The sequence below is a fragment of the Homo sapiens genome, chromosome 14 (assembly GCF_000001405.40).
Source record: "Homo sapiens chromosome 14, GRCh38.p14 Primary Assembly".
NCBI classification, from domain to species: Eukaryota; Metazoa; Chordata; class Mammalia; order Primates; family Hominidae; genus Homo; species Homo sapiens.
The window spans coordinates 96,856,420-96,882,807 of NC_000014.9; the positions used below are offsets into that span (position 1 = coordinate 96,856,420).

General features: G+C 35.1%; 1 protein-coding gene across 10 annotated transcripts in view; it reads left to right on the forward strand.

Moving 5' to 3' along the window:
• VRK1 (VRK serine/threonine kinase 1) overlaps positions 1–25,190 on the forward strand; it is an 84,228-nt gene extending 59,038 nt beyond the window's left edge. For 3 of the 10 annotated variants that reach the window (NM_001411051.1, XM_047431752.1, XM_047431753.1), the window contains 5 exons: positions 109–167; positions 4,138–4,316; positions 19,611–19,701; positions 21,083–21,154; positions 24,758–25,190. In NM_001411051.1, the coding sequence (NP_001397980.1) occupies positions 109–167; positions 4,138–4,316; positions 19,611–19,701; positions 21,083–21,154; positions 24,758–24,789 (433 nt within the window). In that variant the 3' untranslated portion in view covers positions 24,790–25,190. Of the gene's footprint in view, positions 1–108; positions 168–4,137; positions 4,317–19,610; positions 19,702–21,082; positions 21,155–24,757 lie in introns of those variants that run through there. The other 7 variants (XM_047431755.1, XM_047431754.1, NM_003384.3 and 4 more) reach the window with 4 other exon arrangements.

Here is a 26,388-nt window from a genome sequence, read left to right on the forward strand (position 1 = left end):
TAAGCATATTTAGGATGTAGCACAATATAGCTTAATGTGCTATATATTTTTATTTCATATTAACATATGACATCAAGCTTCAGTGACTCATTCTTTAATTTTTAACAGATACAGAGAAAATATTGCAAGTTTGATGGACAAATGTTTTCCTGAGAAAAACAAACCAGGTAGGAAATGACTTCTTCAGTGTTAATAGGGATTTTGTTTTCTGGGGATAAAAAGGCATGATATCCATGGAATAGCCCTTAATGTAAGATGTTAGGTGGTGGCCAGGCATGGTGGCTCACACCTGTAATCCCAGCACTTTGGGAGGCTGAGGTGGGTGGATCACGAGGTCAGGAGATCAAGACCATCCTGGCTAACATGGTGAAGCCTCATCTCTACTAAAAGTACAAAAAATTAGCCAGGCGTGGTGACGCACGCCTGTGGTCCCAGCTACTTGGAAGGCTGAGGCAGGAGAATCGCTTGAACCCGGGAGGCGGAGGTTGCAGTGAGCCGAGATTGTGCCACTGCACACCAGCCTGGGTGACAGAGTGAGACTCCGTCTCAGAAAAAAAAATATGTTAGATGGTTTGTTAAATGAATACTTGAGCCTCATTCAATTATTATTCAGTGCTTTTAGCAAAGGAAGCAAATTTCATTCATACATTAAGTTAGTAAATATTGAGGCTTTATTGTGTGCCAGGGACTGGGGGTACATCAGTGAACAAAACAAATATCCCTGCCCTCATGAAGCTAGCATTGTAGTTGGAGGATTTTAGACAGTAAACACATGAGCAAAATTTATATGTTCCCCCTGGTTAGTACTGTGGAACTAGAAGAAAACAGGGAATAGAATTAGGGGGATGGGGATGGGGTGGGTAGTAAAGTAGTGAGGAGGACTGTAATTTTAAGTAGGCTGTCCAGGGACAGCCTCACTTGGAAGGTGACATTTGAGCAGTTGTAGGAAGGAGGTGAGGGAGGGAGTGAGCTGTGTAGAAGTCTGGGGAAGAGAGTTCTAGGCAGAAGGGACACTAGTGCCCAGGAGATGCGAGGACTGTGTCTTCATAGGTAAACATGAGGGCTTTGGCTTTTACTTCAAGGAAGAGTGTGAGGTTTGTAGTAGAAGAGTGACATGAACTGCTTATCCTGAGGGGAAGGGTCTCCTGCTTCTGGCATGGGGATGGACTGCTGAAGGAGCAAGGATGGGCCTAGGCAGAAAGCAGGTTAAGAGGCCACTGCAGTAACCCATGCAAGAGAAGTAGCAGCCAAAGAGTGAGAATTGGTCAGTCTGGATATATTCAGAAGTCTTTCTAAGCCTTTGCTCAGTTGTCTCCTTTTCAGGGAGGTCTATCCTGACCTTATGCTATTTAAAATTGCAACCTACTCCCCATATCAATAAATACAATGTGGGTTTCTCAGAATTATCCCATGGACCTCATAGCAATCAGTAGCCTCTCCCTCCTGGCCGAATGAGTCACTTACCTTAATTTCCAACACCAAATATTTGTGTTTAAAATTTATAGAAATGGAGTTAATACAGTGAATGAAATATGTAACAATTCCTGTCCTCTTGAAATTATTGTTTACTTCTGTTAGTGTCCTTTTCTTTCACTTAGTAATGTATTTGTGAAATTCATCCCCATTATCGCATGTTTTTTTTTGTTATTGTTGTTGTTTTGTTTTTTTGAGACAGGGTCTCACTCTGTTGCCCAGGCTAGAGTGCAGTGGCACAGTCACAGCTCACTGCAGCCTTGACCTCCTGAGCTCAAAGCCTTGACCTCCTGAGCTCAAGAGATCTTCCCACCTCAGTCTCTGAAGTAGCTGGGACTACAGGCACACGCCACCACACCTGGCTAATTAAAAATTTTTTTTTGTGGACATGTGGTCTCACTATATTGCCCAGGCTAGTCTTGAACTCCTGGGCTCAAGCAGTCCTCCTACCTCAGCCTCCCAAAGTGTTGGGATTGTAGGCATCAGCCACTGCCCTTGGCCCTATTATTGTATGTTTAACAGTAGTTTCCTCATTGTCATTTCTATATGATATTCTATTGTAGTTACATACCATTATGTATTTATTCTGCTCTTAGGTCGTCTCCAATTTTTGGCAGTTGCAGCTTGCCAATTATGCATACAGATGTATAGTCTACCTGCAGTTGGTTTTTGGGTATTATTTGAGGAGGGGTCATGTATCTTTCCTATCCCCATATTTATATCTAATTGACCCAGCAGCCTTTCTTGAAAAGACCATTCTTTCCCTTTGTTGTCATGTTTGTCATCAGTCAAGTGTGGATGTGTGGATCTGTGCACCTGTTTCTGGACTCTCTTTTTTCAATTGTCCTTTTTGCCTGTTCTTGGACCACACTGTCTTAGTTACTGTAGCTTTATTTAAAGCTTGATATCTGGTAGTTGAAATTCTTTGGCACTGCTTTTCTTTAACTGGACTTTGCTACTTTGCTATTCTTTGCCCTTTGCATTTCTATTTAAATTTTAGAATCACCTTGTCAGTTACACACACACTCACCCACCTCCAAGTTTGCTGGAACCTTGGGATTGAATTTGACTCTGTAGACCAATTTGGGGAGCACTGACATCTTTATACTGTTGAGTCTTCCAGTCCACTTATATGGTATATATTTTATTAAATTTGGTCTGTCTTAATTTCTCTCAACTGTGTTTTATAGTCTTCTCTAGGAAACTCTTGCTCATCTTTCATTGTATTTGTTGCAAAGTATTTAATGCTATTTTAGGTATTTTTTGATAGTTTATTTTCCAATTGCTTTTTGCTGGTATATAGAAATAAGATAGATTTTTATATATTTACCTTGCATTTTACGACCTTGTTAAATGTATCTACTAGTTCTAGTAGTTCTTTGTAGATTCTGTAGGATTTTCCACATGTAGTATTATGTTGTTTGTGAATAAAGACTGGTTTACATCTTCTGTTCCACTCTTTATGCCTTCTATTTATTTTCCTATCGTACTAGCTAAAAGTACACATAACTATTCTGTTATACTGAAGGGATATGGCAAAAGTGGACATTTTTCTCTCCCAGGGGAGCATTTTCAATGTTTTATCATACATGGTGATATTTGTTTTAGGTTTTTTGTACATCTCCTTTATCAGATGAAGAAATTGGAAGTTAGGGATTGTTGTCCGTTTTTTTCTTGGTATATTCCAAGTATTTAGGAATAGTGCCTGGCACATAGGAGGTGCTTAATAAATATTTGAGTTAATGAATGTGTGTATATATGCACACGCTTGTGTGTGTGTGTGTAGAACTGATAAGATCTCTTGAAGGACTGGTGTGAGAAGAAATGATTCAAGGGTGACTAACTCAGATTTTGGCTTGAGGAGCTAGAAGGATGAAAATCTCAGTAACTGAGACAGAGAAAACCTCAAGTTTTAGGGATAGGTCAAGAGTTTAGACGTGGGTTTGTTGGAATTAATGGTGATATTTACACATCCAAGGACCAGTATATGAAATGATGGATATACAAGTCTGGAGGTCGGGGGAAAGGTCTGTGTGTGAGTCATTAGCTCAAAAATGAATTTTTAATATTGAGAAGTGTTGATCTTGACTAGTAGGATTTCTTTTTTATGGTGTGGTTCTGTCTAAGTGTACAGTACACTTTTATCATTTGGAAGCTGATTTTTCTCTTTTATAGGAAAGCCAGATCTTATTTCTTTCTTCTTTCTTTGGCCTCTTTTTGGTGTGTTTTATTTCTCATTTACACGAAGAATATAGCTATCTGCTATAGAGCTAATGGCTTTGATGGCAAAAACATATTGGCTATGATATTCATTGTATTTAAGGACATTTTACTTTCTAATCTTTATTCTAGATCCCTTTGTATTTTTTTATAACTTTAATACTATAATAGTTATTTTTATGAGTATTTACATTTTAAGTTGTCTTGTTTCTCACAATTACAAAAAGTGTGTTTTACATTGTATCTCAAAATACTTTTTAAATTTCAGTTATCTGACAATTCCTGAGTTCAAAAGCATACTTTTCATTGAAGTGATTGAAAAAAATAGGTATCTTAACAAGATGTGTATTTGCATTCTAACTTTACTATAACCATGAATTATTTTTTTTAGAGGTTAGAGAGAAATATATTGAAAGTTATAAAATGATTGTGTTATTCTTTTAGGTGAAATTGCCAAATACATGGAAACAGTGAAATTACTAGACTACACTGAAAAACCTCTTTATGAAAATTTACGTGACATTCTTTTGCAAGGACTAAAAGCTATAGGAAGTAAGGATGATGGCAAATTGGACCTCAGTGTTGTGGAGAATGGAGGTTTGAAAGCAAAAACAATAACAAAGGTGAATTTTGTTATTAAATTATTCTTTGGTCTTCTTGTGTTTATAATTGCAATAAATACTAAAAGAAAGTATAGCAGTAGTTCAATGAAGAACAATAACAGATTGCATGGCAATTAAGGCAAACATTTTTTGTAATACAGAAAATGTGTAGAGGGTTGTAGAAAAATAAATATTTATATATTTCTTATGTTTAGTAGCAAGTTACTAAATTCCTGAACTGATTTTAACTTGGAATACTGATATCTGACAGGGAAATTTTGATGGTGCACTGAATTCATAATTTATATGTTCTTTTCTCCCAAGTCACCACTTAGGGTTCATCTTGTCTTGGTTGTTTCTTATTTGTGGATATGGTCAGAGTATTTACCAGTTGAAAACGGGCATTTGAAAAATTACCATTTGAAAATTTCCTTGTTTGTTGGTGTGGTGCATTTTACCATTTGAACATTATTTTGCTCTGTGAAGAAATATTATATAAAGCTATATATCAGCATATAAGGGGATTAATTGTTTGGAGAGAAATGTTAAATAATGAACTTTATGGTAGAAGTATTATACAAGCATGTAAAGAACTTCTGGCATCACTTTAGATTTTACAGGTATGCATTAACTTACTGATTTGCTATTGATTATTTTTGATAATTAACTTACTGATAAACTTACTGATTTCCCTTATAATCTGAAATTATTTAATACAATGTGTTAGCTATTTTTATATGAGGAAGGAAAACAACTTTTAGAAGAAAAATTTTTTTTACATTATTAACCATTTTTACTGTCATTAACTTTGCAAATTCTAATAGATTTATTTGGAAATCTCGTATTCCAAACTGAGAAAAAGCGTTAAAACAAATTTTTCTCTCTTTAAAATCAGACGCAGCACATTGAAAAGTTTTTATCTTTTCAATTAACAAAGGAGATAGGAATTTTGAAATTGGACCAAAAATTTAACTTTGCCAAATAGCAGGTCTCTGTAATTTCATCATAGAATCTGAAATTATATACATGCATCTACATATACTTTTTTTTCTTTGATAAGTTTTATCTTAATTGCATCTGCTCCAGTTTTGTGGTCAACAAGTGTGCTGAAAACTGTATCTGTTTGAAATGAAGAGGGTAAAATGGAAGCCTGAGTGGAATTTTTTAGTAAGGTATTATAGTAAACTTACTCTTTGCATACATGCATAAACAAGCAGCATGTTTCTTATTGCTCAGGATAGATTTCTCTGCGTTAATATTTATAGGTAGCTTGTATAGTGTTTTTCTCTAAAATTTTGGTGATTGAGAAGTAAAGATCTCTGCTGCTATGTGAGAACTTGTCCAGAGCAACCACCTCCCTCCGCCCAACCCCCATCCCCCTGTCCCCGCCCCTACCTTCCTTTGCAAATCCCTTTGTTGTTTGGACTTACATGCTGGAGAAAATGTAGTTTCTGCAGGTTGGCTGACTTTACAGCTGAGTAGGTCAGTCTGCTGCAGAGCTAACATCTGTGACCTTATAATTCTGTGGTGTCCTTGGATAGTTCAGAAGGCTGGAAATTTCCTGTTGGATCATCCCTGACATGTATAAAGCTTCATTTAGGGGAAAAAAATGAATACTAAGTTGAACAAGTTGAACTATTAGGAGATTTATTTCATTAGTTTACTACTTTTTGTACACTCATTGCTGACACAGGGTTATTCTTTGTATTAAAAAGAAATTAATAAAAGTTAAGGTTAGGTAAGATCATGAGCTGCTTGATAGCCATGTAACTGAAGTGAGTTATTAATTTTGTTAGCTTTTTTTTTTTTTGTAAAGTGAAAGAACTGGACCAGACCAGTTTTTTTTCAAGCTTTTCTTTTAAACTGCAGAACATTTTCTTCATATAATTTGTAAATGCTGTCACTGAAAACAGATAAAAGCAGAGCTCTGCTGGATGAGAAGTTGGGGGCTCCCTGCAATGAAAAGCTTTCTCCTTTGAGAAACTAGCTTGCTGCCTCTGTTTTTCAGCAAGATCTATAACCCAGATGTCTTTTTTTGCTCTGGATGTCAGGAGGCTCAAAACTAAATATGATGCTTAGTTCTAGAAACTGTTAATTTTAATAATTAGTACATTTGTTTCCTCTCTTTTCGTTTGTCATAATTTTTGAAAGTGTGAAGTATATTTTCTGTGTATATATCAGACTCAGATCTCTTTTGGAAAGGGGTAGGTTTAATCAGTTTAATATATGTTTGTATTTAGGTTCCTAAGAAATATTCTTTTTGGTAAAAACCTACAGGAATTGATGAACAGTGGAATGAAGCAAGGTTTCTTGTCTATGTTTTTGCAGCCATGCTTGATTATGGTGCAGTATATTTGGAAACTAGAGTGAAACATGAATTTACCCACTTGGAAATGTTTTCTGCTTAATAATCAAGGAGCTTTATTTAAAGCATAGAATTTTGGGATGACATAAGGCTGAAGGAGAACAGAGAGATCAAGTATACATCTGCCCTTAAAAAGTACAAAGTCAAATATTTTTATTGTTGATTAGAACTAAACATTTTCAGTTTTTAGAATCTGGCAGTACAGTGCAACAGTTATTGGATTCAGTGTATACTCATAAATTAACATTCAACAATTACATAAAAAGTCTAGTTTATGTACCTGATCTAGGCTAGGTCTCTAGGGCTACGGAGATCAATGACATGTGGTCCCATTCTTAAAGAATTCCTTCCTGTTCCATCTGGGTTAAGAACAGCTTAATTTACTGGAAAGAGCTCAGCAAGTTAAAAGGACATTAACACTTCCATGAACTATTTTAGGGTTTTAAGTTGCCTGCCTAAGTCAACAAAAAGGGTTGTTGACTGGAATCTCATCCCTGGAAAGTCGTTGAGTAAGGTCTAGATCATGGCCTTGCAATTTGTATTTTAGTTTTTCATTTTCAGACAGCCTATATTGTTGCTCCCTATGAATGATTATTCACATACCTTTCTTTCCTTCTCTATTTTACCTCCTAATTTTAAAATTTTAAAATTTTATTTTTCTGGCTGCATTATGCTAATTGGTCTTTCTAGAGTTTCTCTTATTTAACCATTGTTAAATAAACCCTTGCTGGCATTTAGCCTGGAACAGGGTACAAAGAGTTGAATAAGTGCAAAGCCCTTCCATTGCAAATCAGTAGCCTGCAGCTGCTCCGGTGGACAGCTTTCTTCCTTTCTTTCTGAAGGGATTGCACCTCGTACAGCCTTTATACCATTGTAGCCTATAGTTTCAGTCGGGTTGCCCTGAATGTGCTCTAAATTTGGTGAAAATCTATCTAGCTGTTTTAGCCTGATACGGTAATAAAGATAAACTGTATTTTAATTATATAAATTTTAGATTGTTGAAGTACATTCCTGTTTTCTAATGGTTTGATCATAGTACTGTAGTTAAGTCGAGTCAGCATTTGCTAACAATTTTTTTCTTTAGGTCTGTTATTGAATTCTTTATTTTGAACTTCTTATTTGGCTGAATTTTGTCAAGTGGACTTTTTTGCCCTAATTAAGTGAAGTTGTTACGTATGTATAGAAAAGTACATGAATAAGTACACTTTTACACAATACTCATTTAAACATCACCCAGATCAAGATGTGGATCATTGCCAGAATTAGTTTTGCAATTTTTGGGGAAATTTATAGTAATGGTATCATATATTACATACTCTTTTGTTTCTTTCATTTAATTGTATCTCTGAATTTCCATGCTGTTGCATGTAACAAAAATTTGTTGTTTTTCATTGCTGTGTAGTATCCCATATGACTATACCGTAATTTATTGATGGACATTCAAATTGTTCCAGTTTCCGGCAGTTGTGATAATGCTGTTAAGAACATTATTTTAATTTTTGGGGGGAAACATGTACATTTATTTCAGATTGGGTCTGTACGTACTGGGGTTGCTGCAGCCTAGGGCTTACTTATGTTGAGGGTTTGTAGATATTGCCAATTTTCCAAAGCTGCTCTCTCAGCTTACATTCTTATCAGTAGCATGGAGGAGTTCCAGTTGCTCACTGACACTAGCTCTTGCATTATATTTAATTTCTCCTATTTTGGTGGACGTGCACTGATTTGTTTATGGTTTTAATTTAATCTCCTTGAAAAATATTGATTTGAAACATTTTTGTATGCCTGCCAGCCTTGATAATCCTTTTTTTTTGGTGAAGTACATTTCAAATCGTTTGCCTATTTAAAAAAAAAAAATTGGGGTCGTTAGCTTTCTTTTGATTTGCCAGAGTTGAATACTTTGTATGTAAACAATGTATGTGTTGCACATATCATCTTCCAGTTGGTGTTTAATCTTTTCACTCTTAATATGGTATCTTTTAATGAATAGAATCTCTTCATTTTCATGAAGCTCAGTTTATCAGTCTTTATGGTTAGTGCTTTTTATATTCTATTTGGGAATATTTTGTCTACTTAGGATCATGAAGATATGTTATTTTCAAGAAAGTTTATCTTATCCATCACATTTAAGTCTACAGTTTAACAGAAATTGATTTTGTGCATGGTGTGAGTCAGTATTTGTTTTCCTTCTTTTGGATATCTAGTTGATCTCAACCATTTGTGGAAAAGACGATCGTGTCCTTACAGCATTGCAGTGGTAACCATAGGTATTTTAGTCTCTTTCTAGATACCCTATTCTGTACCATTGGCCCGCTTGTCCATCTCTGTGCCAGTGCCACACTGTTTGAACTATTGTCTTCATAATGATACCTGATAGCATATATTCTCCAACTTTTATTTCTTTAGCATTGTCTTTGCTATTCTTCGCTCTTTGAATTTACATACAAATTTTAGAATTGGCTTATTAGTTTCCTCAAAAATACTTCTAGGATTTTGACTAAAGTTGACTTTACTCTATAGAGCAATTCGGAAAGAACTGACATCTTCTCTTCCATAGCCATAGTAGGCCCCTATAGTTACTTAGATGTTCTTCCATTTATCTCAGTCGTGTTTGTAGTCTTCTGTGTCTGTAGAGGGAATACACAACATCCATGTCTATTTTCTTATAACTGCTTAATTCTTCTGTTTTTTTTTTTTGGATTATCTGTGATTATACAAAGTCTTTCCTTTATGTCATCTGATTGTCAGATATGTTTGCTCTGTTTTTTACTATTCCTAATATATATAAGTTCTGTAATGATTGTTTTGTTTAGCTGTGTGGTTTCATTGTTATCCTTTTGTCTTTTAAATCATTTCCTCTATTTTTTAAAAAAAGTAAGTATTTTTAAATGTAGTTTTTTAAGCCTCTGATGCATTTTATAAAATTTTCTTCCTTGGGGGAGGACTGTTTTCTTTCAGAGGTGGAGTCTTCAGCTATCTTTTGGATGCTATGAGCTTCTTTTTCAGTTTCTTTTCTTGTCTCCTGGTATTCTTTGTTCGTGTGCTTATTCTATCTTATTCATATTGGATAAGGAGAGCTTTATGTGAATTTACTAGATTATTGTATTTGTGAATCTTTGACTTTCCCATCTTTGAGAATGTTATTCTTTATAGTTTGGATTTTAGGGCTTGATATATTGCCAATTCATTTTCTTTACCTATGAATACATATTTGGGGGTGGATCTGATGAGCCATAGGCCAAATTATCAGTCATTTTCCAGTATTTGCTTCGGTTCTCTGCCTACCCAGAAGAAGCAAAAATGTGAGTTTATTAATTTGGGATGTTCTTAGTGAATCCACAGTGAAAGAAAGACTATATTGGCGATCTCTTCTCCATGACTTTAGTTCTTTATGTGTTTCTTATTTATGTTCTCTTTTCTCAACAGTTGTGGCAGTTCCCTGTTTACTGTTGAGGATAATTAGTGATTTTGATTATTCTGCCGTCTTTCTCCAGGTTTCTTCCCAGCCAGGGAAGAAACAAAATTACAGGTCCTGCTTTTGGGGAGTCACTGGGGAGTAGGGAGGGTTTCCTCTTTTCAACGGGCTTAAGTCTTTTCTCCCCCAAGCTGCCTGACTTACATCTTCTAGACTGGGGGCCACTGGTGAAAAATTTCAGAATGGTGTTTGCTCACATTCTTGAAGTGTCTGACAAACTTCATGGTCATCACTTTTCAAAGGTTATGCTGCAAAGCTATGATACTTCTGTTTGCTGCTGAAATATTTCTTAATTGTTATTTTGGGTTCATTACTTCAGATTTTAGGTGGAGGGAAGTTGTGAAGTCTTAACCTCCAAAATGTCTCCACTCATTTTTTAACACATTTTAATTTGTTTATGTGTGTGAACATTTAATTAGAATTTATGTTCTTTTCTCACGAGTAAACAGAGCTTGTTTTTACTTTTACACTCTGAGCCCTCCACAAACCATCTCTCATACTGCAGTCATCTGGAATTTTTAGTTCTAGTTTTTTGTGTCATTTGTATACTATGTATTATTTTTTAGAGTTAATCATGAGTCTAACGTATTTTGTGTTTTTTGTTTGTTTGTTATCCATGTCCTTTCTCTTGACTTTATGTTTCAGAGTATATGCTCAATCTTTTTTTAAAGAAAGCTTCTGGATGGTAAACTTGTAAATCTTGGGAAGTCCAAAAATGTCTGTTTTTTCCCCAGTTGAAAACTAATGTGGCTATATAGTTTTTAATTGAAGACATTGCTTTGTTGCCTTCTAACATCTAATTTTCCTAATTTTTGTTTTTTACTAGATTTCTATTTTTTCCACTCTTGCTTTGAAGCTTCTTGCCTTTCTCTTTGTCCTGGCATTCTGCAGATATCTGTGCACAAGTGTGTGTGTGTGTGTGTGTGTGTGTGTGTGTGTGTTCTAGTTTGTTTTTACACTTTAATTAGTTATCTTTCTTGGTACTTGGCAGACCTTTTTCATCTAAAGGCTTAATGCCTGTCTTAGACGCTTGAACAATTTATTTTCTGTGTATGTGAGGCTTTCCTTTCCTTTCCTTCTCTATTCTGTCCCTCCGGAACTCCTACCACATGAATATGGGAACTCTGGAAGCTAGCTTCTTTTCTCCATGTCTCCTAACTCTTCGACCACATGTTCATTTCCTTAACGCTGTTTTGTATAGATCTGTGGGCTTCTTCTTGCCCATTTGTTACATCTGTTTTGTTTTTTAGTCATATTTTAAGGGTACTAGTTCTTTTTTTAATATGTCAGCATATTCTTGTTTTATTGGTAAGATAGCCTCTTAAATCCTTTGAGAATAGTAATTATGAGACTTTTTTATATTAACTGTTTTGGCAGAGGGATTGTTCTTTTTGAGTTTAATGCCTTTCTGTTTTGGTTCTGTGATATTGCTTAGATTTTTTTCAATGTTTATTATCTAGTCATGTTTTTTGTTGTTTGACTTATTTTAATAGTGTATACCTCAGTCAAAGTTGGAATACCTATTTTCCTGTTAGTTTAATAGAATTTTCATTACAGACATCTACTTCCAGTGATTTCAGAAATGAGTGAAATTTGTGGCCAGATAGCTTGTTTTTTAGGTGCCAGGACTCACTGCTTCTCCAGTTTCTTTTTCTGGTCCATTAACACACAAATACCTCAGATCATTTTAATGGAGGTGCTTGTGAGGCTGTGGGTGGCATCCTTAGTTGCATATTATAATAAATTCACCTGGGAGCTTTTAAGTATCTGTGCTGCACCCTAGACCAAGTAAATCAAAAGCTATAAGGGTGGGACCGTCGGGATTTTTAAAAAACTTCCTAGGTGATTTCATTATGCAGACATAGTTAAGAACCACTGCATATTAAAATTTGAGTGTCTGAATAGCTTCTGTGCAGAAAACAGCCCTTTTGTAAATAGGCATAGCAAATACAGGGCATTTTAGACTTTACATTGTAGCATTTATCAGCCCCATGACCAGCTTTTGCATGTGGGCAGTGATGCACACATACTATTTTTTGATCTCTGTATATATAAGTACTTTACTATAAGTGATACAGAAGGAAATTTGGTGTCATATAAATGTCTTGAATGGTGCCCAGCAGAATTTCTTGAAGTAATGAAAGGACATGCTTATAAGAAGTACTCAAAATTGAGATCTCAAAGGATATTATTAGATTTATTTTTCTGATATAATGGCCAGTTCTTCGGAAATGTTAAGCATTTCTGTGCTTTTTTTTTTTTTTTTTTGAGACAGAGTTTTGCTCTTGTTGCCCAGGCTGGAGTGCAATGGGACGATCTCGACTCACCGCAGCCACCGGGTTCAAGCGATTCTCCAGCCTCAGCCTCCCAAGTAGCTGGGATTACAGGCATGCGCCACCACGCCTGGCTAATTTTGCATTTTTAGTAGAGACGGGGTTTCTCCGTGTTGGTCAGGCTGGTCAAACTCCTGACCTCAGATTATCTGCCCGCCTCAGCCTACCTAAGTGCTGGGATTACAGGTGTGAGCCACCACGCCCGGCCTCGTGTAAAAATGGATGAATTTTTTCAAAAAGTTCTTTCAGTTGAAATAAGAGTGTTATCTGTCTTGCTTATAAGATTGTTATGAGGAATAAAAGATATAAAGTGCTTAGAGCAGTGGCAGGCACATAGCAAGTGACCAGTAAATGTTAACTGCAATATTATTGTTAATGCTGTTATTTAATCCACTATTTAACTTTTCCCATCTTTCTAGTTTCTTGATGATAAGAAAATAACATGGAACGTTTTCATTTGAATCTGTTTTCATTTGAACCTTCTAATAAACTAAGATCTTAGATCTTTAAAAGTTCAGTTTATGAAACAGGGTATTAGGCACATGTGAATGAAGACTGGGTTATATTTTACTTAGTGAGTATGTGTGTTAAAATAGGTTGTTTTGAATAGTAAACGATTATGAATTGGTAAAAGTTGATTTTTGCAGTGAAAGACAAGATGTTAATTACTATGAAATAAAGACTAAAATGTAGCTCCATCTTGTTAAGGCAGAATATAAACAGATTTTTTAAATAAGTAAAATATAGCTCCATACCTTTTAAGAACATATAAGTCAAATTAATGAGTTTGTAGTTATCCCTTTTTTCTCTTAAGCTAAATAATTGATACGAGAAGATAATAGTACTTGACATAAAGCAGAGGAGTCCTGACCACCAGAGAATTCTGTGTCTGCCATTTTCTGCCTGCGTGTTTAGGAATTAGGTGTTTTGTGGACATAAGTTTATTGAGGGAAGATCAGGTAGTATGTTTTTAATAGTAACTCTAATGTAGCCCAATTTGTTCTGTAATACGCTTGTTCATGTGTTGCCTTGAGATTAGTTAACTCCCCACCAGTATATATATAGGTTTTGGTTTTCATTGATGTATTTATAAAGATTAGCCTCCTTAGTTTATAGTATTATATTAAATAGTTTTCAAAATCTTACATTTTTAATTCTTGAGCATTCCTCAGAAGACTTGATTGTGCTCAGTACAGGTAATAGGATATTGACCCTTTAAACTTTAGGTTATCACTGAGCATTTATGTAGTTTCTATATTCTTTCAGGACCTTTAAATTATTTTTTATAACTTTTGCAGCATGCCTGTGAAATATATTTGTTCATAAATGATGGGACTAAAACTCAGAAGAGGCCAGGTGACTTGTTCAGGGCTGTGAAATCATTATTATTATGCATTTATATAGAAAGTTCAAGGCATCCTAGTGATTTTAGGCATAAAATATTAAAGATAATTAAAGCATGACCCGGCCACTCATTTGCCTTTTCCCATAAATTGTACTTGAACCATCTTAACTTTGCCAAAAGTTTTCGACCTTAATGGTGCATGTCATGGAACCCTCAGAGGAAAACATGAGTGAAGAGATGTGACATTGACTTTAATCTAGAATAGAATACACTGACATATTAGTCTTCTAGACCGTAGTTCATTGAATCTCTGGAAACAGCTTTCGTCTTGTTAACTGACTATACGTTTGATCATATTAAAGTTTCATGATCTCCTTGTAACATGAATGATGTTAGAATCATGAAAAGCCATTGCTGCCAACAAGTTGGAAGTTGAATTTACGGTTTTCAAAAGTGTCATTAGGAGATTTTTCTAGGTTGTGCTTGCTATTATTGTATGACATTTTGATGAAAGTTCTTAAGCATGTAGTACTCTTGTAGATCATGTAATCAAGGGTTAGCTTGTTTCACAGCTAATCTGCTTGTTAGCTGAATGTTTTTTCTAGGAGAATGGATGACAGTAGAGCTTGAAGGCAGCTTTCCCTAGTTCCTTAGTAAGCCAAGCTGAAGGGACATACATGTGCTCTAAAATAAGTGAATAGACAAATTATGCTGACTTTATGAAAGCAGTGCTTTTGCTGAAAAAAATGTGTTGCGCATGGAGCAATCAACCCTGATAGCCAACCAGATGGTTTTTTTCCTCCATTTATTCTGACAAAGTCTACCATTGTATCAGTATTTTTTGGCACATTCATATAAATTACCTGTAATTTTTGGTGTGCTATTTTTTGATAGTTACAGTAAATTCTTAATTTTTCATGGTATTGTAAGGGTGGGATACCTTGAACTAGTGAAGAACATAGATATTCCAAACTTTGTGTGCCATATATTTAATCATTTTATTTTGCTAACCTTGTTCCTTCAGACCTGTTAATTAGCAAAATTGCTTGAGTTGTACTTCCTTTCTATCTCCAGAGTAGGTAACTAAAAATGTTGACAGGAGAGAGATCTAAATTTAAACAAGTAGACAACAACAACAAAATCAAGGGTGGACTGTGATGTAATGTGTGTGTTACATTTACATATGGATTGATACTTCAATGAATGAATTTCCATGTTAGTGGGATTACACTGGACACTTATGTAAGAACACTCATTTATGGAACCCTAAAAGGATTTCTTATAGTGCTTATAGCAAAACAAATAGTTGCAGAAATTAAACGTGTGTGTATTTAATGTTTTTATAAAAGATGAAGTTTCTCTTTTGCTTTAACTATTTTATAGTGTCTATTTTTCAGCTTGAAAATGACAGTGCCAGGCACACAGTAGATGCTTAATAAGTACATGGTGGTGATCTTCACCTCTGTTCAGATGGAGGTCAGTGCTGTTGTGGAAGGAAATTGCAATAGTCATTATTTTTATTACAGTCTTCATCACTGAAACTCATTGAAAACAATAAATCACTTTAATAAATTCTAGCAAATTTTTATTTTTATTTTTATTTTTTTTTGAGACGGAGTCTTGCTCTGTCACCCAGGCTGGAGTTCATTGGTGTGATCTTGGCTCACTGCAACCTCTGCCTCCTGGATTCAAGCAGTTCTTCTGCCTCAGCTGGGACTGGTGTGTGCCACCACACCTGGCTAATTTTTGTATTTTTAGTAGAGACGGGGTTTCGCCATGTGGCCAGCCTGGTCTCAAACTCCTGACCTCAAGTGATCCACCCACCTAGGCCTCCCAAAGTGCTGGGATTGTAGGCGTGAGCTACTGCGCCGGGCCTCTAGCAGGATATTTTTAGATTATTCCTCAAATTTGTCTGTCTCTTTTCAAGTCATTCATTCATTTCCTAACTCTCCATCTTTTTATTTCTTCTCCCTGTAGTTATGTTTGACCTTTCTCTGCATTTTCTTAAAACATATATGTAATTAATGTCCATTCAAATATTACAGTTTTTGAGAGACTTAGAGGAAGATATGAAATTACCTCTTTATTACAAGAATAGTTCAATAGTTACTCTACAGGTGCACATCTGTATATGTGCAAAACACTGTGCCAAACTCATTAAGGGTTAGATAAATGAGGAAAACCATAGTCCTTGCCCTCAGGGAACATACGTAGTAGAAGAGAAATAGAGGAGGTTATGAAAATAGTTTACATGAAATACACAAATGTGTGTACTATAATATAACTCTGGAAAAAAATACATTAAGAACACAGCAACTAGAAACTGCTGCTTCCTACTGAAAGCTCACATAGGAGACCGCATAGTGCTGTGGAAAGGAAATTGCAATAAGAATAAAGAGCTCTGAGTTCTAGTCTTTTCATCACCATCAGCTGAGAAATACTGAGCACATTCTCTGGCTTTTTTCCGTCCCTAGCTTCAGTTTTTTCTGTGTATATAGTAGATTTTAACTAAATCTATTAGTTTCATAAATATTGTGGCATAATAACATGTTTGCTGTAACCTTCATAGAAGATGTGTCCTTTTTCTTTTAGTTACTACTAATATTCTATTTTCAGCCACTTTTAGGGAATGTAATAATTTAATCAAATAAATAAAATAAGATTAACTGATTAGTCACATGGACTGATTAGTGCAGTGTTTAGAACAAAGAACTTTGTTCTAAACTGTGTTCTATAGCACATATGACATATGTGCTATATGAAGCATTTTAAAACTTCTAGGCTGTATATTTTAAGTTTCTAAAGTAGACATGTAGACTTTTGTCTTATGGGATGGACAAAACCCAAATAACACTGCCCGAGTACGCATCTCTTAGAGACAGCCATGAATCTGATTGGCTTTTCTTAGAAGCTGTTGAAAGCATCTAGAGGTGATCTTTTGATGCTTGACTTGGGAAGCAAAGAATTGGTCTTTGGTTTTTGCTTCTGAAGATTTTTTTTCTCTTTTCTATTAAAACAGCTTTAAGTCTACAGCAGGTCTCCAATCGGTGTTTAGACTATTAGTAAATTATCAGTTCAAATGCATCTAGCCTGTTTGTCTTCCTGTTTCTAAATTGGAAGTGAGAAGCTGCTAATTAACTAAACTTTAGCATATCTGAACACTTCAAAAATATAATGTGTAATATATATGCTGGTGCCCTTTGAAATCTAAGTTTTGAAGATATTTTAGCTGTGCTGAATTAAAAGAATACTCAAGTTTATTTTATAAGTTATTTTAGTATATCATACAATATTTTGGTTTCATATTAAACGCAAAGGCACCTGTGAGACCTGATACAGAATGTGACAAAAATCAGAGATTAGCATAGTCACTTTGTGAAGACATTTTTCTGTTCAAAAGGAACCAAAATATGCACTATCTGAAGCCTAAGGATGTTGACAAATAACAAAATGAAGCATTTGGAAAGATTCAGAAGGAAGAAGCTGGGAGCAGATTGCTTAGAATTTTACTCATTGCCTTATAAAATTGATAACATACTTAGGTACTACTAAACTTGAAGGGTTTTATTTTGGTTTTTTAATTGGTCTGTAGACCACTGGCCCTTTCTATGCAGACTACGTACATTATTAGAAAAGTTGGGCAGGAGTTACCTGGCTGAAGTGTGGATTAATGCAGTAGAGTGCTTTACGTAATGCATACTGCTTAAAGCACAGGTGTTTCTTTTGTTGGTTGAATACTGTCTGATTTTCCTTCCTATGTAATTTACCTGCATGGAGATTAAGAAAGCCCCCTTTTATTAAATAAGCTTGAAAACTAGATGAATGCACTTAGGTTCTTGGGTAGAATGTATTGGATAGCTAGCTCCCTTTATGATGAGCATTTAAAAATCTGCTCTCCAAAAACTGGGAAATGCATTCTCTGCTGTATGGAAAGCAATATAGTACTGAAATATTCCTCCTTAATTTTGGTCTGAACAAACAAAAGTGTCTGTGTTTATTCTTGCCTAATGCATCACAAATCTGCTGACATGCTAACCTTGGAGTCTTGGCTGGCGTTAATCAGGCCTGTGCACCGGCAGGAAAGATGTACCTAATGCACTCCATCAGTGCAGTTTGCATATGGAAGTTCTCACAGGGGAGCTGCCCTGTGCCAGCTGAGGGTTACCTGCCCACTGCAGTTATTGTATGTAATTATCGAACCAATCTGTTCAGCCCAGCAGGGTTTAGACGGTAATCATGAAGCAACACTGGAAAAGAAAGATGTAAGGCATTCTCCCCTTTTCTCATCAGTTATATGAAGTTATAGCCACTCTTACAGCTATTTTTGAGAGGCAATACCCCCATATACAAATCTGCTAAATGAATGCCTTTGAAAGTTTCTCAAGGTTCAGTCAAGTTGTTATTTTTGTATGTGTGAAGCATTTTCTTTAGGAACATGGTGGGTATCTCTGAGTTCTAATTTTCCACAGCCACCTTAAGAATGTTTTGAAACAGTGGGATTAATTGTAATACATAGATAATAACAGTTCTGACCGTTTGGAGGTTTTAAGGTAATGTGCCTTGAATAGAGTTCAGCTTTCCCATGTAGTTCTCTTTGGAACAGAACCCATGGTTGCCATTAGGAAAAGGAACAATGTGCTGTCAGCAGGCATTATCCTCTTTTCTAGCTGTACACAAAATGGCCTGCAGCAAGGAACATTCTCAGATGAAGTTTAACTTATTGTTAATTGTTAGAAAATATAAATGAGGACATTCTGTTGCATTGTGAACCTGTGAGATTTGGGGCATGTCGGATGGTTTTCTAAATGATACAGACTTATTTTAGGCAACCAAGAGAAGCTTTGGATTAAAATTTGTATTTTAACCTGCTTAAATTTGAAACTACAGAAGATAAAGTTATATAAAAAAATTCAAAGTTTTATATTTATTCCTAATGCCCGTCTATAATTTTACCTATGTATAGAGATGTTAGAGAATTTAGAAACTTAACGCAGGATTGGACCTGTTAGAAAATGTTGTAGTGGTAGAAACACATAAAATGAAATTGAAGGAACATTTGGGAAGAATGGATGGTGACAGAATATAAGCACTGACTCCTAAATAACACTTCACTAGAAAAATAGGACAGGCCCAAGAGAATGTAGGAAATCCAGACGATTTTTGAGATTTTCGGAGAGCTTTGTACTTTTAAGACTATTCATGTACAGTAAGGTTTATGGCCCTCTTAAACTTTTAATAAAAAGTATGCTAAAAGAGAAACAATTATTACAAGTTTTTCATTATTGATTCATAAATAGAATTCTACCACCAATGTTATGTGGTACAAACACTGATTTAATAAATGGGGCAAGACATACATTTTTTCCATTTATCAAATAGATTATCCTCTCCACCCCACCCATGTTGTACAATGTGGAGAGTATCATTGGCCTGAGTGGTGATCGTGAGTTTGTAAAACATTTTGTTTTAAAAGAGTTTCTGTATGATTAGTCCTGATGGTTAAACCATAGCTTTGAATAATGAAGTATATAAAGCATGAAAAGTTAGAGGTGGATATAACAAATATATCTACCATCTGGGTTAACTGTCTAGTTGAAAGTTCTTGTACTCCCCCTTTCTTCCATCCCTCATCCATTCCTTTAGGTAACTACTATCCTGAAGTTGAGAATATTCTTCCTGTGTGTTTTGACACACCCACACCTATATACATTTATACACACACACAGACAAATATGTGATGAGTTTGTAGTTTACTTGACTGTCAGATATCTCTCTCTCTCTCTTTAATTTTATATGTAAGAAGCGAAAGAAAGAAATTGAAGAAAGCAAGGAACCTGGTGTTGAAGATACGGAATGGTCAAACACACAGACAGAGGAGGCCATACAGACCCGTAAGTTGAACAGTTTTGCCTAGCTGCTTTCATAGGTAAACACAAATTTCATTTCCTCCCATTAGATGAGGGGTCAACTATTTGGGTCATGACCTTTTGATTTTATAATAAAATACCACAAGATTTTTATATAGTATGTATTGTGTCTTTTGTACACAGGTTAGATTATTTTCTCTCCACAATAATTATAAAGTTGAGACTGGGAAGCTTCCTTCATTTTGCAGATTTGGAACCCGAGACACTGAATGATTAAATGGCAGAGCTGCCAGGCGTGGTGACTGATGTGTGCCTGTAGTCTCAGCTACTCAGGAGGCTGAGGCAGGAGGATCACTTGAGCCCAGGAGTTTGAGTCCAGTCTGGGCAACATAGAAACCCCATCTCTAAAATAAATAAAATAAATGACTGAGCTGTTGTGAAAGGGTTAGTGATAGAGACCAGAACTCTTAACTGTCAGGCCAATGTCTTTCCACTTCCTCACACTGATCCCACATAACTCTGGGTATGATAGTGAGTGTCAGGGGTCAGACATGGGTCTGTTGCAGCTGAGCTGCCTGATTGTTCCTTATAAAGTTTGTCAACCTCTTCTTTTTTTTGAACAAGTTAAGAGGAAAGGAATTAAAGCTTTATGGATGATCACTTTTCAAAGTTCTTGAAGCAAAAAAAAAAAAAAACACAAAAAAACAAAAAAAACAAGGTATGAAGTCATTTTTCTGAGATGGCTTATAAACTGGCACTGAAGGCACTTCCAATAGTTCCAGAAATGACATTAGCAAAGGCAGCATCTGCAAAGGGCAGAGCTAGGTTGGACTTTGGTCTGATATGTTTAATAAACTGCCAGCCAATGTGTTCCAGGATTCATGTGATATGATGATGTACTTGACTCAATAAAGAGAGCTATTCAGTGTGGCCCACAATACATTTTTTTAAAAAGATTTTTCCTGTCTGCCTTTTTTTTTTTTTGAATTATTATTTTGTTTGTCCTGAAATATTTCTTGGTTGCTAACAGAAAAGGCTTATTTTTGGTTAAAAAAAAATTTTACAGCATAGGTGCCATATTGAGTAATGCCACCAATTTATTTTACCTTCCTTTTGCTAGTGACATTAGTGCATGTTTGTGGAAAGCACAGTATTCAACTTTCAAAGAGAATCATTTTTGCCCTGATTTTATTACTATGTTCTTCATTACATATTATGGTTAGAACATCCTTTGGTTTAATCTGTTTTAACCCAAAGAATACTTGAGATACCTGAAGAGGGAATATATAACTTCACACTGAAGGCGAGAGGTTTTGAAGTAGTCCCTCTCTTTTTCCCGCTGCTGTCTTCCTTTCGCTACTGTCTTTTTTCCTCCTTTCCCCTGTCTTGTTCATTTTGTTATTAGGAAGTGAGGAGTCCCAAGGAGCAATACATCGAAGCATGTCTCAGCCAGAGGCTAGCAGCAGCAGCTATGACAGTGAGTGGGAACAAAATTAAGGAGTATTTATAAATATACAGCAATATTCTTAAAAAACAATCCCTTAAATTTTAAAACTGGCAATTTTAGTTTCAGAAAGATCCTGCATTGTTCTAGTGAGATTGACACTCATTAAGTCTAAGGCAGAGTCTCAGCTGCGCATCAGGAAGACTCATCCCTTTCTTGACTGCCTGGACATCATTTGTTACCTGAACTTTGCTTAATGAGCATCAAGCGTTTTTGTTTTGATAGATAAATGCCTTTAAATTCTAGTATAATTATGAATTTTTTTTTAACCTAAGTTTTTAGTTTAAGGTCTTCTACTGATGCTTTTTCCCATGAGAAAATATATCAGTATTTTTGTTATTTTATTAATGACAAAAGAGTATAGTAAAGTCATAAATAATTTAAGGAGAACAATTCAGTTTTTTTGACCTAACTTTTTCAGAAGATAAAGAATAGTCAGATTCACCCTTATTCATATAAACTCAAAATTGCCGTTCTTAAAATGCTGTTTATTTCCCCCATTACAGTTCACTTTTTTCCCCTAAAGTACAATGCGAGTTAAGGTATTTTACTATCAAAATAATCATAAGTGAGAGAAATATTATCTGATGGTAAAATATTATTGCTTCCAGCAAAAAGAAAAAGCCAAGAGTTCATGTAAATGTATATTTTTAAATTTATCAGTTTAAAAGTTACTTGAAGGAAAAGACACATTATTACATTTGTTTTTTTAATTTTTAAGATATATAGTACAATTCAGTGAACACTGTGTTTTAGGGCTTTAAGATTTTGTGTCATAAACGTGTTTCAAGAATGGTTACCTCTAACAGCAGCTTTAGAAATGTCAGTTTCTTCATTAACAATTTTATTTTCAAACACAATTTATGATTTACAGTATGGTAAGAGATTTTTCGCACTGTGTGATCTTTCAGAATGCTGTGCCTAGCAAAATGGGAGCAACTTTCCTTTAATATCTATTTAGACCATTTTAAAAATGTGTATAATTTTCTAGATACACCTAAACTCATTTTGAATAGTTGGGGGTCTATTGTGTAAGAACACATTCTGAAAGCTTTCAAAATGTGTATTGTGTAGGTTTTCTCAAATAAATAGAGGAGGTGATGGGATGGTTTTCAAGAAGAACAGAGGCCTCTAATCCTTTTATTTTTATGCAAGGCATAATTTTTACCAGTTGAGAAAATTTGGTTACTGGCTGCAAGTAATTTTTCCCCTCACAAAATGAGGAGCCTTTAAAAATCATGCATATTTTGGCATTTCAAAATCATGCCAGTATTTCAGAATTGTGCTAAAAATTAGCTAATATAGCCATGATATTTATGGCTGGTGTACTTTCCCCCCTCCTGTTCATAAAATGGAGGCTACTTTTGTTGGTATTATTTTTAAGAACCTTGGATTTTGGACCATTCCTGAGGAATCTTTGGAGAAAGCATGACTAGTCAAAAAGTAGATATTTTTAAGGGAACCCTACAAAGAAATTTCCTACTTTTTTTTTCCTACTGCATTATAAAATCATAGAAAAGCATCCCAAACTTGTATGTTATTTTCCAAATATCAAATTATATACATTAGTCTTCTGATTGGACCCTTTGCCAGTAGTGTATATTATGAAAATGGTTATATATTTAATTAAAGAGATAAGGTAGTTTTTTTTGTAACAATCAGAATTGATTATTAGGGAAAATATTGAATTGATTTATGCAGCAAAGTCAACAAGGTGCGTAGGACTGATTATATAATAAATTCCAGGCAGTAGTAGCCCTTTTAGTTGCAGTGAGAAACTTTGGATTGAAGGAGATGAGCAGCAGTGATATTTAATTTCAGAGTAAAATGGCAAATTAAGACATTAATGAGAATAATGCTATTTGAATGTAACTTTATAGTTGTTAATTTAGTGTTCTTTGTAGTGTGGTTAAAGATTTAAAATGTGTTGAAAGGGAGATATAGTATTGATTATTGACCTTGATTTTGTAATACCCTTTATGCCAGTCTCACTATCGCAGCATTTTCAGTTTTCTGTGCAGAATTAATTTCAAATTTCTTGAAATAGGCCGGGCGCAGTGGCTCATGCTTGTAATGCCAGCAGTTTGGGAGGCTGAGGCGGGTGGATCATTTGAGGTCAGGAGTTCGACACCAGCCTGACCAACATGGTGAAAGTCTAAGTCCTACTAAAATACAAAAATTACCTGGGCGTGGTGACAGGCACCTGTAATCTCAGCTACTCTGGAGGCTGAGGCAGGAGAATCACTTGAACCCAGGAGGCGGAGGTTGCCTGAGCCAAGATCGTGTCACTGCACTCTAGCCTGGCAACAAAGCGAGACTCCCTCTCAAAAAAAAAAATAATAATAATAAAAATAAAATTTCTTGAAATAAAAACCTAAAAATCTACTGTGGGATATTTTTAATAGATGGCCGTGTTACAGAAATTTAAGAAAAAAACTCAAATTTTAGAATCAATCATAGTACAGTATATAGGGTATGTATTATGAGTGGCAGAAAAAAGGATATTCATATAAGCTTGAAATTTGCTTTCATTGAACTGTATGATTGAATAGAAACTATAACTTGGAAAAATTAAAAATGCTAGTTTTGAAACTGACCTTCATGTTAAGTAACTAAAACCCATGATCAGAAAACCTTTAGATACACATGGTAGAATTTTGTTCCACATTCAAAGAATGTTTCGTACTTTTCAGAAAAGAAGTATTGATCTTTTGTTTTTTTTCGTGCAGTCATTGATTAATTATGAGCACCATGCTGTCCCTGACTCTGGTGCCCCTGCTCTTTCCTGGCAGAGCGTAGCATGCGGCAGTGGGAAAGAAATGGCCCTGCTTCTTTCACCAGCACTAGGCAGCCGTGATCAGGCTAACTGCTGTACCCAGAGGTGGAGTAGGAGTAGTAGGTGGGGTGAAATGTCTTGGTGAGGCAGAATTCCCATGCCCCCAGCAGAGAGTCATTGATTTATTCCAAACCAGAATAGTTAGATAGGTACTGTCATAAAGGACTTAGACCAGTATCACATATGATCCTTTTCCAGGAGGCTACTCATTTGGGACCTGTATAATTCCTAGCGGAAAAGACTTTCCATTTCAGTATATCCCAGTGCTCTCCTGCCTCAAGGGTGTAGCTAATAGTCTTTAAAAAGCAACTTATTGCTTTGCTTTTCATAACATGTGTGACCTCATCGCTTCCACCTTAGGAGTGAATGCTTATCTATATTGCTAAGGTTTATATTTGGAGATAATGTTTTAAATTTTACAACAAATTTAAATTTTGGAGAGAAATATTTCAGTATTAGTAAAAATTAGATACGTTTTATCAGTCAGTATTTTTATATGGCTTAAGAGAAGGTAGGTTTTGTCAGCATATTTTTTGACATATTAAAAAATGACCCAATTTTCTAAGATTTTCAGAGTATTAGCAATCATACCTTTGTATGTCAGTTTTATCTTTGCAAATCACGAGAGTCGATTTGATTTTAAAATGTTAATAACTATATTTAGGGATATTTATATTTCTGTTCTTTTGCTTTTGTAAATTATTGACTAGTGATTTCAGTTTCTTTGATTTTTCTTCAAGGTTCAAGAACCAGAAAGAGAGTCCAGAAGTAATTCAGATGCTGTGAACCAGATTTCCTTTTCTTTGTTTTCTTTTGACTTTTTTCTCCTTTTCTATTTGAACTGTTTTATTTTCCTGTGAGTCTTGCGAGGTGGAAGTAATGATTAAATACTCATGTGTTCAGAAAACATAAACTTTTTTTATAAAAATATTTTGTACAATTCATTAAAGGCTAATTTATGAAATTTGAAAATCTTCAGGTTATACTCCTTAAGTTATCCCAAAGCCGTGTGTTTGTGATGTTTTGGAGTACATATATATGAAAATTATTATGACACGCACTTTTCTAATCATTGTACATTTCTCAGAGTGGATAAAAATGTTTGACAAAGTCCTCACTTTTAAGGAAATGCAAAGCTTAAAATAAAACTCTCTTTTGTTTGATGCAAACACACAGTATGTTGTGGCTGTAAGGTTTGGTTTGTATTGATTTTGTTCTGTTCCCAAAATCTTTTATTAAACACCTGCTGTATGAGACAGGAGGTACAAAGACAGGAAAGGAATATGAAATAAAAAGTGGAGGAAGCGTATCCATGAGAGAGAAAATCTACATATATGAAAGATTACATAAGAATTATGTCAGTATGCAAGCCGTATGACAAGAAAACAAGTGACAGATGATCAAATGGTGGTGTGATTAAAGATTGTGTAAAGACTGGCTTCATCTACGGAAGTCCTATGAACTAGATATTAATAGATAGAGCCTATTGTTCATTCACAGAAGTTTATTTTTCTTAAAAGTTTCACTTTCATAGCATGTAATATTTATACAGTAAACCAAGCACTTCAGAGTTTCAGTGATCAGAAAGTTTAAGATCTGAAATGTTTTTAGTTGCCTTGGGAACAGAAGCTTGTAATTTTAACACATTTATGAACAATTTCATGATTCATTCCTCAGAGTTTTCTTGGTCAGAGAAATTGGTATTGGACTATATTTTCTGATGGATGGCATGCCTTACCACTTAATAACATGCACAGTGTGTTTAGAAGGTATATGGACATAGTTTCACTTAAATATTTAAGTATATTAATGTGTATTCAGAATACAGCTAGCACATTAAACTGGTGATTTGTCTACTACTTAGGACAAGCCTAAAGTAGGTATTTCAATTTTTAAAAGCAAGTCGATTTGAGGGAAAAAATAAGTAAATGTACAGGTGGGATATGGACATACCAGAAATTGTGAAGGTTGGACCAAATTTGAGAAACTATGAACCAATACAAAGACTATAACTTTTGGCTCTCTTATGTGGATATTTAGTTGTCATGTGAAGCATTTATCACTGAAATGGTTAGATACTGAAAAATGCAAAACATCTACAGACTTTCCTTTGAAGATTAACCTTTTAATGCCTCCTGAAGTTCTAGAGCAATGTATCTTTACAGATTAGAAAATTTGACTTTGGGCAGAGGCTCCTCCTGCTTTCTGTAGAATGTTACGTTTTAGTACTCATCAGTGTTAATCCCCCAAGTTTATTTGTAACACCTAAATCAACTCTCAAGTTCCATTTTAAACACATTAATGCTTAAAATAGAGTAAACTGTGTGTGGTATGTTTTTCTGTATATGCTGTAGCCTCCTTATTTTTCAAA